Source organism: Homo sapiens, chromosome 4 (genome assembly GCF_000001405.40).
Source record: "Homo sapiens chromosome 4, GRCh38.p14 Primary Assembly".
In the NCBI taxonomy this organism is placed as follows: Eukaryota; Metazoa; Chordata; class Mammalia; order Primates; family Hominidae; genus Homo; species Homo sapiens.
The window spans coordinates 68,547,439-68,564,519 of NC_000004.12; the positions used below are offsets into that span (position 1 = coordinate 68,547,439).

Sequence of the window (17,081 nt, forward strand, 5' to 3'; positions counted from 1 at the left end):
GACTTACATGTTAGACCTAAAACCATAAAAACTCTAGAAGAAAACCTAGGCAATACCATTCAGGACATAGGCATGGGCAAGGACTTCATGACTAAAACACCAAAAGCAATGGCAACAAAAGCCAAAATTGACAAATGGGATCTCATTAAACTAAAGAGCTTCTGCACAGCAAAGGAAACTACCATCAGATTGAACAGGCAACCTACAGAATGGGAGAACATTTTTGCAATCTACTCATCTGACAAAGGGCTAATATCCAGAATCTACAATGAACTCAAACAAATTTACAAGAAAAAAACAAACAACCTCATCAGCTTGTGGGTGAAGGAAATGAACAGACACTTCTCAAAAGAAGACATTTAGGCAGCCAAAAGACATATGAAAAAATGCTCATCATCGCTGGCCATCAGAGAAATGCAAATCAAAACCACAATGAGATACCATCTCACCCCAGTTAGAATGGCAATCATTAAAAAGTCAGGAAACCACAGGTGCTGGAGAGGATATGGAGAAATAGGAACACTTTTACACTGTTGGTGGGACTGTAAACTAGTTCAACCATTGTGGAAGTCAGTGTGGCGATTCCTCAGGGATCTAGAACTAGAAATATCATTTATCTAGCATTCCCATTACTGGGTATATACCCAAAGGGTTATAAATCATGCTTCTATAAAGACATGTGCACAAGTATGTTTATGGAGGCACTATTCACAATAGCAAAGACTTGGAACCAACCCAAATGTCCAACAATGATAGACTGGATTAAGAAAATGTGGCACACATACACTATAGAATACTATGCAGCCATAAAAAATGATGAGTTCATGTCCTTTGCAGGGACATGGATGAAGCTGGAAACCATCATTCCCAGCAAACTATCGCAAGGACAAAAAACCAAACACCGCATGTTCTCACTCATAGGTGGGAATTGAACAATGAGAACACGAGGACACAGGAAGGGGAATATCACACACCGGGGCCTGCTTGGGGGTAGCGGGAGTGGGGAGGGATAGCATTAGGAGATACACTTAATGTTAAATGACGAGTTAATGGGTGCAGCACACCAACATGGCACATGTATACATATGTAGCAAAGCTGCACCTTGTGCACAGATACCCTAAAACTTAAAGTATAATAAAAAAAATTACTTTGGGCAGCATGGCCATTTTTACAATTCTGATTTTTTTATCCATGAGGATGGAATGTTTTTCCATTTGTTTGTGTCCTCTCTTAATTCCTTCAGCAGGGTTTTCTATTTCTCCTTGAAGAGGTCCTTCACGTACCTTGTTAGGCATATTCCTAGGTATTTTATTCTCTTTGTTGCAATTGCAAATGGGAATTTATTCGTGATTTGGCTCTGCTTGTGTATTGTTGGTGTATAGGAATACTTGTAATTTTTGCATATTGATTTTTCTATCCGGAGGCTTTGCTGAAGTTGCTTATCAGCTTAAGGAATTTTAGAACTGAGATGAAGGGGTTTTCTAAATATAGAATTATGTCATCTGCAAATAGAGACAATTTAACTTCTTCTCTTTCTATTTATAGAATACCCTTTATTTCTTTTTCTTGCCTGATTGCCCTAGTTCACATTTAAATCCACCATTTTATTCTATATATTTTTGTTTTCTAACCTGTTTTCTGTTTCTTTGCTTTTTTACTTTATTTGAAGTATTTTAAATCATTTCTTGTCTTACTAATTTTTTGGTAAAGTGTTTTTAATGTATTCTCTTAGCTGGTACCACCTTACATCATAATAATATTGGTAGGATTAATAGACTCTGAATTGATGGTAGCTGGTGTAGTCACAGCATTTTCCATATTATTTCCCTTGGATTATGGAAAACTATTACATATTTATTTTATCAATATTAAAACCTTCATGTTTCAAAAGGCATCCTCCAAAAAGTAAAAAAAAAAAAAAATCTATCTGCCCATAGTGGAAGAAAATATATGAAAATCGTATATTTGATAAGGGATAGTATCTATAACATATTAATAATTCTTATGAATCCATAATAAGGTAAATAGAAAAATGACAAAATGTTCACAAGATTAAAATAGAAATTTTATCTAAGGAAGATGCATGAATGATCAGTAAGCACATGAAAAGAGGGTTAACATCTTCAGCCATAAGGAAATGCAAATGAAAACCATAATGAGAGACCACTTTACACACACTAGAAAGGCTGTAATAGAAAGACAGGTGATAACAAGTGTTGGGAAGAGTGTGAAGAAATTAGAGCCCTCCTATCCAGCTGGTGGTAATGAAAAATGATGCAAATACTTTGAAAAACAGTTTAGCCATTCTTCATAAACAACAATTTCCCATATGCCTCAGCAAGTCCACTCCTAGCCTCTCCTCAAAAGAAGTAAAAACATATTTTTACACAGAAAATATGTATAACAATATTCGTAAGTGCCAAAATTGGAAAGACCTAAAATGTCCATGCCCTGATAAATGGGTAATTTTGGTATAAACATATCAAAGAATATTATATAGAAATAAAAATGAATGAGTTCTGATACATCCAACAACATAAATAAAACTAAAAATAATTATGCTAAGTGAAAGAAGTCGTTTACAAAACACTATAAATTGTATGATTTCATTTATATAAAATATGTGAAGAGAATAATCTATTGAGAAACAAAGTAAGTCGGTATTTTTCTAGGACTGGAGGTGTATTGGGAGTGACTTCATGCATTTTGAGTTTAATTTGAGCTCACAAAAATGTTATTTAGGGTTGTGGCTTCGTAACTATGTAAACATACTAAATATATTTAGATTTTAAATTTTAGTGAATGTTATGCTATGCAAATTGTAACTCATTTTCAAATTGATTAAAATAATGATAATAATAAAAATAAATTTTTGAGAAAGAATAGATTCATACTTTCAGAAATTTTAGGTATTGAATTGAAATATTTTATCATATTTCTCTAGTTACATAATTTCTATTGTGTATTCTATCATTAAAAATATTTAAAATAATTATGTACATATCTTTAATTTTTTTGATTTTATAATTCATTGCAGTCATTGGTGACCCATTAAATCTGTGGGGTTGAAATGTAACTTTGAAATAATTGTCTGGTGGAAAATAAGAGCAGATTTTACATTGGTTAAATCACTTCAATCCCTTCAAAATTAGTCTCTTAACAAAGGGTTCAAACTCATATTCACTGTTGACAAAATAATTTGTAAGTACCACCTGGTCACAAAATTGTAATACTCACATAGGGTCATTAATGACTGACTTCAATGCATTGAGCAAATCTCTACTTGACATGGTCCTGATGTCCACACTGAGGGCTGCTCCCTTGGCTTTCATGTGAGCAATGTTATCATGTTGATCCGCAAACAAGGGAATGCCCACCATAGGGATCCCATGGTAGATTGCCTCATAGATGCCATTGGTTCCACCATGAGTTATAAAAGCTTTGGTTTTGGGATGACCTAAAAGTGGATGCATTTTAACAAAGTTATTAATTATAAGGCACAGGAATTGAATAAGAAATGCACAATATAAGGAACTTAAAGCAAAACTGTTCCCTAGGTAACATTATACCCACAAAACTGCATTGAAATTGTTTTCAAATTTCAGAGGAAGAAGCACCTACTTCTGCTGGAAAGGTAAGTGAAGGCTACATGAAAAGGTGGTGGTCTGTGTGTCTTCACAGTGGAAACATAAATTTAAAAGTTTGCCAGGTGAACAAAATGAAAAAACATATTCTTAATTAAAAAATTAAAATGTGCAAAAAAGAAAAGAATAAGATTTGGTATACAAGAACATAGTCTCTTAAGTAGTATAAATTATGCAGTCACATTTATATATTTAAAAAATATTTAAATAGTTAAAATATTTAAAATACTTAAATTTTTTTTTAAAGGCAGCAAGGAGTAGGGTGGAGGTGGTGCTGAGGAAGGACAGGTTACACATCATCATGAAATGTGTTATCACTTTATGATAAAGATTGGTGATTTATTCCCACAGAAAATAGAGTCACTGGTAATAGAAGAATGTCTGTTATTTTTCAGTACCTGTTGAAATAACCCTGCAGTAGGGGAAGGAACAGATGTAAAGTTGCAGAAATAAGAGACAGAAAATCCAGGATGTTATTTAAAACCTGTGAGAGGTAATTACACCTGAATAAAGAGATTTTTATTCTGACCATAAAGAATGTGACTGTATGTAACAAAATGCCAACTACCATAGTGTATTCTTCTTATACTAAGACTAGAAAATAAATATAAAGTAGTTAAATTTGATTTTTTTTTAGTTTTCCAATAATAAATGTTAAATATGTTTGTTTTATGTTGAAATATTATCACTTCTAATTGGCTGTTACTAATATATTCAGTATTTGTTCTCCAGAGTCTTACCAAGAAGGTCATTCTGGGGTAACCACTTATACAGTCGAGTATTGGAACCTAAAGTATTTGGCTTCTTGCCATCAAATCTCCATAGAACCTGTTAGGGCAAGGAAAATATCTTGTTCAATGAATAGAACTCTAAAAATATAACTTGTTAGAATTCTGAAGAGATTAATAATCAGTTAATCCATATAAAAGATGAAGAAATAAGAAGAAGTGATGTCAAGTAATGAGAACTACTAAAAGTCTGAGGTAAGCTGAATACCCACATTTAATATCTTTACTTTTATAATCAATTTGGTATATAAAAAAATGACATTTCTAACTTAATAGCTAGACACATGAGAGTGTGAGAGGAAAATAAATCTTGGTGCCCCAAAATCTATGCTAAAGGGAAAAGTTAAGCTGCTCAGGGCAAACCTACTTCCCATTCTATTCAAAGTCAGCCCTTGGCTCACTGAGATAAATGCATATCTAATTGCCTCATTTGGAGAGGCTAATCAGAAACTCAAAGGAATTCAGCCATTTGTCTCCTATCTACCTATGACCTGGAAGCCCCTTCCATGCTTCAAGTTGCTCTGCCTTTGTTTCTAGTTGTCCCCCATTTCTGGACTGAACAAATGTCCATCTTATATAAGTTGATTGATGTCTCATGTATCCCTAAAATGTATAAAACCAAACTGTCCCCCCACCACCTTGGGACACATGTCACCAGGACCCCCTGAGGCTGTGTCATGGGTGCACATTTTCAACCTTGGCAAAATAAACTTTCTAAATTAACTGAGACCTGCCTCAGATATTCAGGGTTCACATTTTGGTAACCATGAAGAGACTCTGAGTGGAGGTTCCCTGACCTTTGATAAATGTCCTGTCAGTGCTTGGTACCAGCATGAGCTAACTTTATGGCTCAAACAAATAAGACAATTGGCTGAGGTCTGGGAGCAACCCCTCCAGAGAATCCCTGATACCCCAAAATTCAGTCAAGACCAAAAGTTTATTTTGCTGTACAACTCCTTTTTTTTTGTTTTTTATTTTTTTTTGGAGTTTTACTTGCTTCCTACAAGAAAGGCAATATTTCCTGTTTCCATGACAATGGAAGGCAGGTAACTCTATGGAGTTTGAGCTCACTCCCAGGAGGGAGGATAAATTTGAGGTTTCTTTCCTACTTCTAGGACGACAGAGGGCAGTTTTAGCCTGAAACCCATCCGTAGGTAAATAGCTGAATTGGGGTTTTGTCTTGGTTAATGTTTAACAACTAGCTGGACTTAATTTCTCCTTACCATTACAGTGCTTAATGATCACATTTTTGGGAGTATTTTTTTTGTACATTCCAGTATTTCTCCCATCAGATTTGACAAACTTTACCTGACTTGATCATATCTGAGTGAGAATTCCAAATTGTGGGTAACAAAGCCTGTCTAATTTGGTGAAAATTCTTCACAGATGCAAAAGAGAAAACAAAACAAAACCTAAAAACCATGCTCTTGGTTTCTGTGTTTGCTTCCTGTCTTTAAAAAAACAAATGTTCTTTTGTTTACTTTTCCTCCACCCTATACCTCCTTTTGTCTTTTGCCATTTGTAGTACCAAAAATCTAGAGAAGGCTTCTAATGATTTGAACTCTTTTAAAGAATTCAGAACAAAGGCACCACTCACCCCTTTGGGGGTGCTCTGTTTTCTTTGTGGAGTTTCAAGAGTTGTGGGCAGATTTTTTCTTAGGTCCAAAGCTCTGTTTTCCTATGTTGAATGACCTGATCTCTTTGGCTTCGAGATTACCACAGATTACCTTGTACTGTGAGAGGATTTTACCTTGGCGTGTGTAATGGCAGACGAGTTACAAAGTAGAGGGTGGCTGAGTACAGTTTACTGGAAGTAGTATTGACTGTTGTTATTTTTTTCCTCCTAGGAAGTTGTTGTTTAAGAATCCTAATTCTAGTTTGGAGATGTGTTGTAAAGGGTCTCCTCTATTGTTTTTATTCCCCAAATTAATCTCATTTGGCTTGTCTGTGTGGATTTGTGTGAGAAACTGAACTGTGGTTTACATAGGAAAATGAAAGACTGAGTTTTCTCAGCTCCAAAGTGAAAGGGCATCTGCTCCTCCCAGGCAAAAGGCACCCCTAAGCAACTGGGGGCCTTGTGGGAGTGTCTTGGGTTTGACCCCCTATGACATGCAGTGGTCCTGCAGGGAAATCCCCAAGAAAAATTAACTTTTAAAAAAAGGCTAGTCCAGGAAACACATATGAGGGCAGATCACCCAGCATTTTGAGCCCTCTCAGAGGTCATACACCTCTGGAGGGAGAAACTGAGACACGTAAGAGGGTGGAAACAACTCAGTGGTGACACACTGTGGAGTACTGCCCACAAGCAGCACACATTGATTCACCACACATAAACCCTAGGCCACAGCTCAGTTCCTCCTTTTAGGAAAAAAAGTGGGAAACAAATAATCTAAGAATGATGAGAAAAGAAGAAGAATGATCCCCTGATATCGCCTGTTTGGATTTATGACACCTCTACTTGGCAGAGTTTATGTAAAATGAAGGTAATACGGTCTTTGTGCACATATACATTAAGAGCCCTAAGGTTGTCCTACAAACTGTAGAGTTCCTAAGTTCTCTCTTTTTTAAAAATTTTCTTTTATTCTTGCTTTAAATTTGCTTTTATTTTTCTATTAAGTTAAAAACCACTGTTTTGATTCAACAGGTTTTTGTCTGCAAGCTGGTGATTTTTTTTTATCTCATAGCTAAATTTCTGAAGTAAAAACCACATAATCTTTTGTGTGTGTGTAAGTGTTTGCATATATTTAAAAGGCCATTATAATTTCTATAATTTTATGTTTAATTGGCAATTAAATCCATTTTATTTTCCTTCTAGCACACCAATTTTTTTCTCTGTGTACATTATGATGTAAATTTTGCTATTTGATTTTCACCTGAATGGTTTCTTTTAATATGCAAATGTAAGATTATTTAGCTCACAACTGCCTATGGTGATCAAGTATTCATACAGATTACCTATTGAAACAGGTTATCAAGAATTTGAAAGTCTAATATGGCAAAGAGGAGTTTTTATAAACCTGTAAGATGTACTTCTGTTGGCATGCTTACTACATCTATGTATTTATGTGTTTTGTACACAATGTTTTATTACTGAAAATATATAAAAGAGCTCTAATTAATTGGCTTAAGAAAATAAAAGTGCTTGAATTAAATACTTTGCCAGAAAAAAAGACTAATTAAATGCTTTTTCAAGTTTATGTAACTTAAATAAAATCTTTTATAAATAAGATAACAACAATTATTGATAAAGTATGATAATATTAGAAATGCATTAAGACTTGCCAGCATACATTTTTGTTTGCATTTATTAATCAAGAAATTTCATACTTATTCTTGCCAAATACTTTAAGGTGTCAAAATTTGACATAGGGGTTACAAAACTGTAAACCAAGCCCAAAACAGAATGATCTTCACTTGTGTAATTTTTAATAAATAAGACATTAATATTGGTTTAATGCAAATAGCTACACCTTGAATTAAGTAAGATTATCATAACTTCTCATCTTGTGGCCTTAAGCAATCTAGTCCACAGGCATTAAGCTTTGTTTTGGGAAAAGACTGTTATCATTTTTATTTCAAAGCTAAACTATAAACTAAGTTCCTCCTTAAGTTAGTTTGGCCTACACCCAGAAATAAACACGGAGAGCTTGGAGGTTAAAAGCAAGATGGAGTTAGGTCAGATCTTTTTCACTGTCTCAGTTATAATTTTGCAATGGCAATTCCATAACTTTAAATGATGACTACCACACTTTTCACAAATATTCTAGGTAAATGACTAAATAATTAGGTAAATGTAATGGGATAAATACTTATAGACAAACTCATAATTTAGAATCTAAGGTTATATTAAATTAAATAATAGATATTTCATTGTTTGGGTATTTTTAAAAAAAAATTTGTAGGAAAACATTCTTTCCAAAAAAAAGTGCATCTTTTTTAAAAAGGTGAAGAAGTGTTGTCTAATTCAAAGCTTATTTAAAGGTTATGTATAAAACAAGGTAAAAGGAACCAGGAAGTAAGGGAGATGTAAAGAAAGTTATAAAAATAAAAAGTTTTTTTTTTTTTTTTTTGTAAAAAGCTTGAAGAGAAATAATTTTATATGAGAAAGAATCTTGTGTGGTAAATTTAGTCCTAGAATAAAATGATCAGTTGTGTAAGAAAGAAGGATGTTCAGGACAAACCAGAAAGTCCAAACATATCATGAATGATCTGTGTAAGTCACAATAAGAAGATTAAAAAAACTTTTATATGATCAAGTTGTCTATAATTAAAGGGAAATTATAATGGTGTTTCTACAGATTGGGCTTGATGTAAAAAAAGCACTTATGCACTAAATAATTGGTTAGAACAATAACATTTTCTTAAGGGATTGATTTACTCTTAAAATATTATGAGTTTTTTTTTTTTAACCCAAAGTTTAACTTTTCTTGCATCTCACTGTTTTTGGTTTTCTCTCCCCTTTTAAAGGGTGTGAAATAGTAACACTCTCCTTCAACTCATTTTCAACTCATGTAAGTTTTTTCCTCAAGTTCTGTTTGTTGTGGCATAATGCTAACAGTGTTTTCTAAAAGCTATTCAACTCCTCAAGGTCCAGGGACTATCACAGAAGAGGTGGGTGTGTGAGATTGAAAGAACTGATACTAAGAGATAAAATAAGTTCCGTTTATGCATAAATTAATCATTAATGTCAAAGACACACTAATGCAAGACCAACATATGGGCCCCTGTGTCAGATTAACAAGGTTTTCTTGAAGCATAAACTGACTTCTTAATAAAGATTATAAACGTTATGAAAGGCTGAGGAAAGTTATATCTTATGGTCAAGATTAGAATTTTATAGATTGTTCATACAATTTTGAAAAACAAACTTATTTGGCTTCATGCTGTTTTATTAGGGCTTATTGTTTGGCAAATTGAGTCTCCTCTCTCAAAGAATGAAGATTTTTGCCTTTTTTTGAAATCCTTGAGTTACTACTTTAGTCAAATGAATGCTTTATTTTACCTGTGATATCAAGCTTTTTAATCCTTTGATATTTGACAAATTTTCCAAAATTATGTTTTTTTCTGACCTAAGTAATCCTTTAATTTATTAGTTTCCCTAAAGTCCAAAAATGACATAATTTGGCTTATTTGGTATAAAAATTATACAGGGAACATTGTCAAACATGAAATGGTGTTTGGTCTTTTTGAGCTGTATTTATATAAATATGTTATTGGCATGTGTTCCAAAATTATGGGAAACTCCTATAATTCTGATATGACTTAGTGTGTACATTATCAGTAATAATTATATTTGTTATGTTAAGTTATTGTGTGCCACAGAGGTAACAAATTTCCTTGTCCATTGTGTCTTTGACTGAGGCTGCCCTAAAACTTTTTGTCATCCACAGACAATTGTTGTCTGACTTTGGTCCTCTTTAGAAGGCGATTTTATACTCAGCCATGAAATTCTAACAGGTGCTCTTGAAAAAAAGTTTTTGATAATTTTGGAGATTGTGACATTAGAATGGAAGAAAAACTTTCAGGACTCATGGAGAACTAAAATGTTCATGAATATCAAGCAGAACAGGAATTAACTACATGGACTGAAATAATAGAAAACTAAAGTAATCTTTTTGACTTTGCTTAAAACATTGCTGATCCTTTGTTTTGTTTTGTTTTTTTTTTTAGAGTGAAGGAATCTTTCTTTTTTTGAGCTATTAACAGCTTTTAACAATTTAGTATACTCCTATGAAAAAAATTTAGAACATATTTGTTTCCCTCTACCTGATTTTTCAGAATTTGGAAACTATTTGTGAGTATTTTTTACTTTTGTCAATACAGTTATTTGCATAAGTGCAATAAGAATCTATTTTCATTTTTAACAAAACACAATTGGAGAAACTGGTTATTTTATCAAGGCTTCCACTGGAATGGTGGGCTTTCCTTTAGGGAATCAAACTTAACTTATGGAGCCAATAAAACCCCTTGGGAAAACTGGCCTCATACCTTCATCTATAAGGTCCCTGTACAGGGTTCCTGAACTGTGTTAAGCAAAGAATGTAACTTTCTGACAGGCCCAGGAGCCCCAAGTTTATTTTGGAACCCCAAGAGGAGAGGAATTCACCCAACTCATAGGTATTTGATGGTACAAATCTATGGCTTGCCTCAGCTTTAAAAAAGTCCTATCTGAGATTCTTTCTATAAGACAAAGTTCCATCAAAGCCACTTTAAAAGCCTATGTAAATAAAAAATTATTCTTCCTCCTCTGTATACAATAATCAGGCCAAGTATAATAAAGCAAATCAGTTGTACCATGGTTTGTCTTTAGTAAAATTGGGAAACTGAAGACAGAAAAATTATGTTTCAAAAATAACAGTATACCTGTTGTTAGATTCTAGTCTTGCCTAATGTTTTTCAATTTTTATTACTGTCTACAGTTTGGACTGAATTCTAATTTTTCATGGCTACACGTCTTCAAAATAGTGTCTTCAGGTTTTTTTTCCTCCCCTTCCACAATTTTTCCTAATTTGGAGTCACTGTAAACTAAGCTATGCTTTCATAAAGCCCTACAAATTAAGCTAGACAACTTAAACTCCAGAAGAAAATAACAGCAACCAATTTACATACATAATCCACTTTCATACCTGCCTACTGATTTATGGACTTCAGAGTAATGTGGCCTATATTAATTTTAAAGGATTGTTCTTTTGTTTTTGTTTTTCTCACTTCCTCCCTTTATTTTGTCTTCACAGTACATGAGACTTCAGAACCTGCTAAAAATGAACTTTCCTAATAACTCAGGACCTGCTTAGGAATAAACCTTCCTTGCCATTAGAGATCAGATGAAAACCTGAGACCAGAGACTCATTTTCTTCTAAAATGCTTTCTCCAAAAGATTTTTTTAAAATGTAAAATGAAAATAAACCTGGGGGCCCCAAAGTCACTAAGCAAATCACTGCCTCCCATTCTATTCAAAGACACCCCTCTGCTCACTGAGATAAATGCATATCTGATTGCCTCCTTTGGAGAGCCTAATCAGAAGCTCAAAGGAATGCCTCTTCCCTGCTTCAAGTTGGCAAAATAAACTTTCTAAATGTACTGAGACCTGTATCAGATATTTGGGGTTCACAAGATTATCAATGAAATATTCAAATATATAAGAATTGTTAGGCAGTCTTAATTCTAGTAATAAAAAAGTAGCAAATTAGTAATAACCTATATATTTATTTTATATACTTTATACTAGCTGTAACCTTCCAAATTTAATATAAATTTATTAATTTTTGAGTGATATGGGAAGAGTTTACTTATATCCACTTGTCTACTAGTCATAAGTTATTTTATGAATTTGACATCATTGATTACAAAAGACTAAATACTTAAACTGCACATATGGTGAGAAATAATGCTACATATGTAGTAAATTCAGACTATTATCAGTATTGCTACTTTTGTAAATGCTAACAATGTAGGAAAAAGGAGCCCATTGACAATTCATGATTAACAATACAGATGCTGAGAATGTAGAAAATTGTATTTTGCTACTTTTTGCTTAACTGATCTTTCACACTTAGATGATGCACTACCTAGCATTGACAGCCTTGATATATGGTCAGCTATAGCCAGTCATTACCATGTCTAGTACCAAACTAAGGTACTGATTTTAGATTTCCCAAGCAATCTTTATAAACTGGAGTAGAATTTACAAGTGTTGTCCTTGTATTTGATATGGGAGTGTTAAAGTAACTCTGTGTTTTCAGCAAAAACTTGCATAGATCATTCAGAGAGGGCTATGCAGATAAGAAAGTAAAACGTAAATTGAAAATACACAAAGATTGTAGGTATATTCTATAGATTAGAAAATAAGTTCCTACCATGTTTATTTATAGTTCCTGCTCCTTCCTCAATGTGGAGAAGGCACTAATCTGATTCTTAGAGCATAGTCTTTGTTGGGCCACATTTAATAATGCACATAGTCTACCCTAAAAGCAGGATTCTATCTCCATCCTTTCCATTACATTTTTCTGCTTAAGACATTAGCGGCACCCAAGCCAGCAGAGCAGACAAGTTTTTCTTTTTCTCTAAATCTACTTGGCTAGGTGGGTACCTCCAGAGCAGTGGCTAGTCAGACTAGGACATTCTTTCTCTGAATGGCACCCTGAACAGAACGCTAAATAGACCTATTCCAATGCATGGGAAGTAAAAACAGCCAGATTGCTTGGTAAGACGAAGCTGCATGATGCATTTCAAAGTTTTTTCAATACCTGCTTATTGTTATTGTGATAGTACAGTAACTTATTAAAATTTTACCGCTTTTTGATAATATCTACAGTGTATACAGTACCTTCTAAAATCCTGTAAACCAAAAGGAGCAAATGACAGGGCAGAATTTAGTGATTTCTATGTACATGCTACGATACCATGATAATACCAAACTTCACTAGCACCTCTTAAATATATTTCCTTCTGATCACAATATTAATGCCAACGTTATTATCAACCAAAACTCCTCTCTTTATGATTTTAAGATCTTCCATATATGTTTTTGCTTTGAACAGATGTCTGAGATAATTAGAACTATCATAGCAGTTAAATTTTCAGGCAGAACATTTCTGTAATGGACTCTTGAAGAGTTTAACAGATTCATTTAGTAGCCATCCACAGTTAAGGCACTTTATCTAACCTTTTGTGGGATCTGGGCAAGGGCTGATGCAATCATGTTGGCACTTTCTTCTGACATGTTACTGATCATCGACCCCAGAGAAAACACCACAATACCATTTTCTCCAGAGCTCTGCACAAACTCTTCCATTTCCTGTGAAGAAAGAATTTGTTCTATCAGAAAAGAGCAACAGCACAGAAAACACTGTTGACAGGATTGTTACAAACATCTAAGATGAGAAAGTCAGGAGCTATTGGAGTAATTTTTTTAAACTGACCTAATCATTCAGTTTCTTTGAAAGGAGATGTGTAATATAATATATGTGGGATCTTTCATGCAAATTTGTGTAAATATGTGTGCATATGCATGTATGTATGTGTGTGTAAGGAAGAAATGAAACAAAGCTATGACACTGCAGTAGGAGGAGATAATGCTAGAAAATATTACACCCAGACACTTTATTTATAATATTATAATTACTAACATAGGTTATTGGAAGGTAGCTTTACTTGGCTTTAATTCTATTTTTTTTTGTAGTTCTACTAAATCTCTTGTGTTTATTTGGGGTCATTTTATTTTATTTTTTTCTGTTCAGTTCTTTTAGTTAGGAGTCATTGGAGCCATTACATGACTATGAGCAATGAGGAAAAGTTAGTTACAATTAGAATGATTTTATATCTACATTTATTTAGCTTCTTTAGCTCTCTAACCCTTTATATTTCACTTAGAGTTTCCTAGTCTTACCCCACTACCCCTCACTTCCCCCGACACCCCCACCCCCAAAAAACACCTTAAAAGCTGAAGTATAAGAATCATTGACGTTCATCAGTCTGGTGTTGGGGCTTGGAATTTCCGGGAAATAGTTCTGAGAATTCCATTTATAATACAGTATTATATACTATTTAGTTACATAATTAAGTGATCTTATTTCTCAGATCATTGTTTAGGTATGACTATGATACCTTTTGTCCTGAAATCACACTGTGAAATTGATGTGCTATTTATAACTTACCATGAGGGACCCTCATCCTCACTTTGCTGTGTCTCACAGGGGGCACTTGAACCACAGTGGGAGAGGTCACCAAGCCTTTCTCCAGTGGAGATCTGCTCACCCCCTAGAGTAGCTCCCTCACACTATATGAAGCTCCTGGTAAATATGTGTTTGCTTCGAAATGAATGAGAATTATTCTGACTTGTGTTTCCTGATGTGTTCCTGTTTTTAAACTTAAATCCATTCTCTAATGCCACATCAGTCAATGTATTCTCACACCAAAAAAAAAAAAAAAGAAAAAGAAAGAGAGAAAGAGGAAAAGAAATGTAGACTCATAAGTTTCCCGGATATCATATCAAAATTGTATACTCATCTTTTTGTTGCTATTGTCCCTTTTGTTCTAAATTCTTTTTTTCTCAGTAAAATAATGACCAACCCCTTCTATCATAACAAATATACTTTCTGGTCCTAATCATTGGGGGAAATTTCTTTATAAAACTGTTTACGAATAAAAAAGGAAATTCTAAAATATGTCAATTCAGACCATATATTGGTATTTTTCAAAAATATAATTGAACTTTATGACATCTTTTATTTTTATTTTATTTTATTTATTTATTTATTTTTGAGATGGAGTCTTGCTCTGTCACCTAGGCTGGAGTGCAATGATGCAATCTTGGCTCATTGCGACCTCTGCCTCCCAGGTTCAAGCAATTCTCCTGCCTCAGCCTCCTGAGTAGCTGGGATTACAGGCACCTGCCACCACGCCTGGCTAATTTTTCTGTTTTTAGTAGAGACAGGTTTCACCATCTTGGCCAGACTGGTCTTGACCTCCTGACCTCATGATCCACCTGCCTCGGCCTCCCAAAGTGGTGGGATTACAGGCTTGAGCCACTGTGCCCGGTCTGATATCAGTTTTAATTGGAGATTCAGTGTATGGCTATTAGAGTTAATTCATGAGGCATCCAGGAACTCAGTGTAATTGCAGTTGCCTGTAGCCACATTTAATGTAACTTCGGTTTAATGTTTTGTCTCATTCACTGACAAAAGTCTTCTTCATCCACCAAGTATTGAAGTAAAAAATCGTCTGTTTATAGACAGATCAGCACTGATCTCATTCTGTGACGTCTTTATGAAAGCAATGGTAATAGAAGATCAATGTAAGTAGTCTTGTAAAAGTATGAAAATTTAGGAAAAAAATCATTTTTCCCATATCTCTATCTCAATTTAAAATGTGTACCATTTCATTATGGTTTTAATTCTATTTATATAACTCAATGTACATATGTGATGTTTATTTAGAAAATTTTTTCTCATTGTATATGCCTTTTTATCCTACAAAAAAATTGTGATCTTGTTCTACTCATCATTCTGTTCCTTAGTTTCCAACTATACCTGTACTACAGCTGACAGTGTAATTAAACATTGTTTTGAAAAAATGGATTGTAATGGCTTGGTATGCGCATTGTATAAGTTTTTAACCATTTCTTAATGTAAGATATTTGAATTATTTCCAGAGTTTTTTAACGAATATTTGCTACTAATATTGAATCTTACCATCATGATTTATTCTCTGTACAGTTTCATGTGAATATATTACAAAGGCAATAACTATATGCAGTTTTCAAACACTTGATACTTTTTGGCAAGAGTCTTATTCTTTTGAAATATACAAACATTATCTGAGAATCTAATACATAATGGAAAAGCAAGCAAATTTGTGGCAACAATTATTTTGTGTACAAAAGAATTAGAGAATCGGTTTCACAATTATTTACTTAGATTCAAGTCTACCTTTTGCAGGTTAACAACAACAGCCAGTGCCGGGCACGGAGGCTCACACTTGTAATCCCAGCACTTTGGAAGGTTGAGGCAAGTGGATCACCTGAGGTCAGGAGTTCGAGACCAGCCTGGCCAACATGGCGAAACTCTGTCTCTACTAAAAATACAAAAATTATCCGGATGTGTTGGTGGGTGCCTGTAATCCCAGCTACTTGGGAGTCTGAGGCAGGAGAATCAGAATCACTTGAACCTAGAGGGTGGAGGTTGCAGTGAGCTGAGATCATGGTAGTATTAGTAATAATCACTATTGTACTACTAGTCATTTATTCCTTGTCCTCCTTATTCTCCTATTCTCTTCCCCCTGCTAATGGCACTATCACTTTCTTTTGATGTGAGTGAGGATTTTTTTTTGAGAATAAGATAAGAGTACACAGAATTACCTTTTAAGCTAAAATATTAATGAAGTGCCTCCACCTTTGCAATACAACTTTAGCTTTCCAGCGTGTTCAACTGACTGCCCAAACTTAAACATTTATATTTAAACAAGCACACAGAGTATCTGTTCTCTAGGATTTTGCTAGGAAAATCAATCATTATTAAATGAAGACTGATATCTTAAATGGCTGGCACATGTTAGCTAATTTAAAATATTAGAAATAATGACTAAAATAATAATCATAATATCAACAATATTTTTGGATCACTGGCTATGTGTCAGAGACAACTTAAGTGTTTTATCTGTGGTAACTACTTTTTTCCACACAACACAATATGAAGTTGTGATTATTATTGTAAAAGTAGTCATGATTGCCTAAACTCATGTAAAAGTTCCTAAATATTCTTTACATTGTACAAAGTTGCCTTTCTGTAATATTACACATTGAGAACATTGGGATTTTTTTTGAAAGGAAATCTGATCATATCTCTTCATTTCTTAACTCTTTTCAGTAGCTCTCCATTGTCCTTAATGGGTATATCAAATTTCATATATATATATATATATATATTTTTTTTTTTTGAGACAGAGTCTCACTCTGTTGCCCAGGCTGTTGTGCAATAGCATGATCTCGGCTCTCTGCAACCTCTGCCTCCCGCGTTCAAGCGATTCTCCTGCCTCAGCTTCCCGAGTAGCTGCTATTAGAGGTGCCTGCCAACATGCCTGACTAATTTTTGTATTTTTAGTAGAGACGGGGTTTCACCATGCTGGCCAGTCTGGTCTCAAACTCCTGAC

The 17,081-nt window shown here is 34.1% G+C and overlaps 1 protein-coding gene across 1 annotated transcript in view; it reads right to left on the reverse strand.

Annotated features, from left to right (window-relative positions):
- Positions 1 to 17,081, reverse strand: part of UGT2B17 (UDP glucuronosyltransferase family 2 member B17) — a 39,150-nt gene that overhangs the window by 10,266 nt on the left and 11,803 nt on the right. Inside the window, exons 4-6 of the mRNA NM_001077.4 lie at positions 13,099 to 13,230; positions 4,386 to 4,473; positions 3,239 to 3,458 (exon numbers count right to left, since the gene is read on the reverse strand). Coding sequence (NP_001068.1) covers positions 3,239 to 3,458; positions 4,386 to 4,473; positions 13,099 to 13,230 — 440 coding nt within the window. The remainder of the gene's footprint in view (positions 1 to 3,238; positions 3,459 to 4,385; positions 4,474 to 13,098; positions 13,231 to 17,081) is intronic.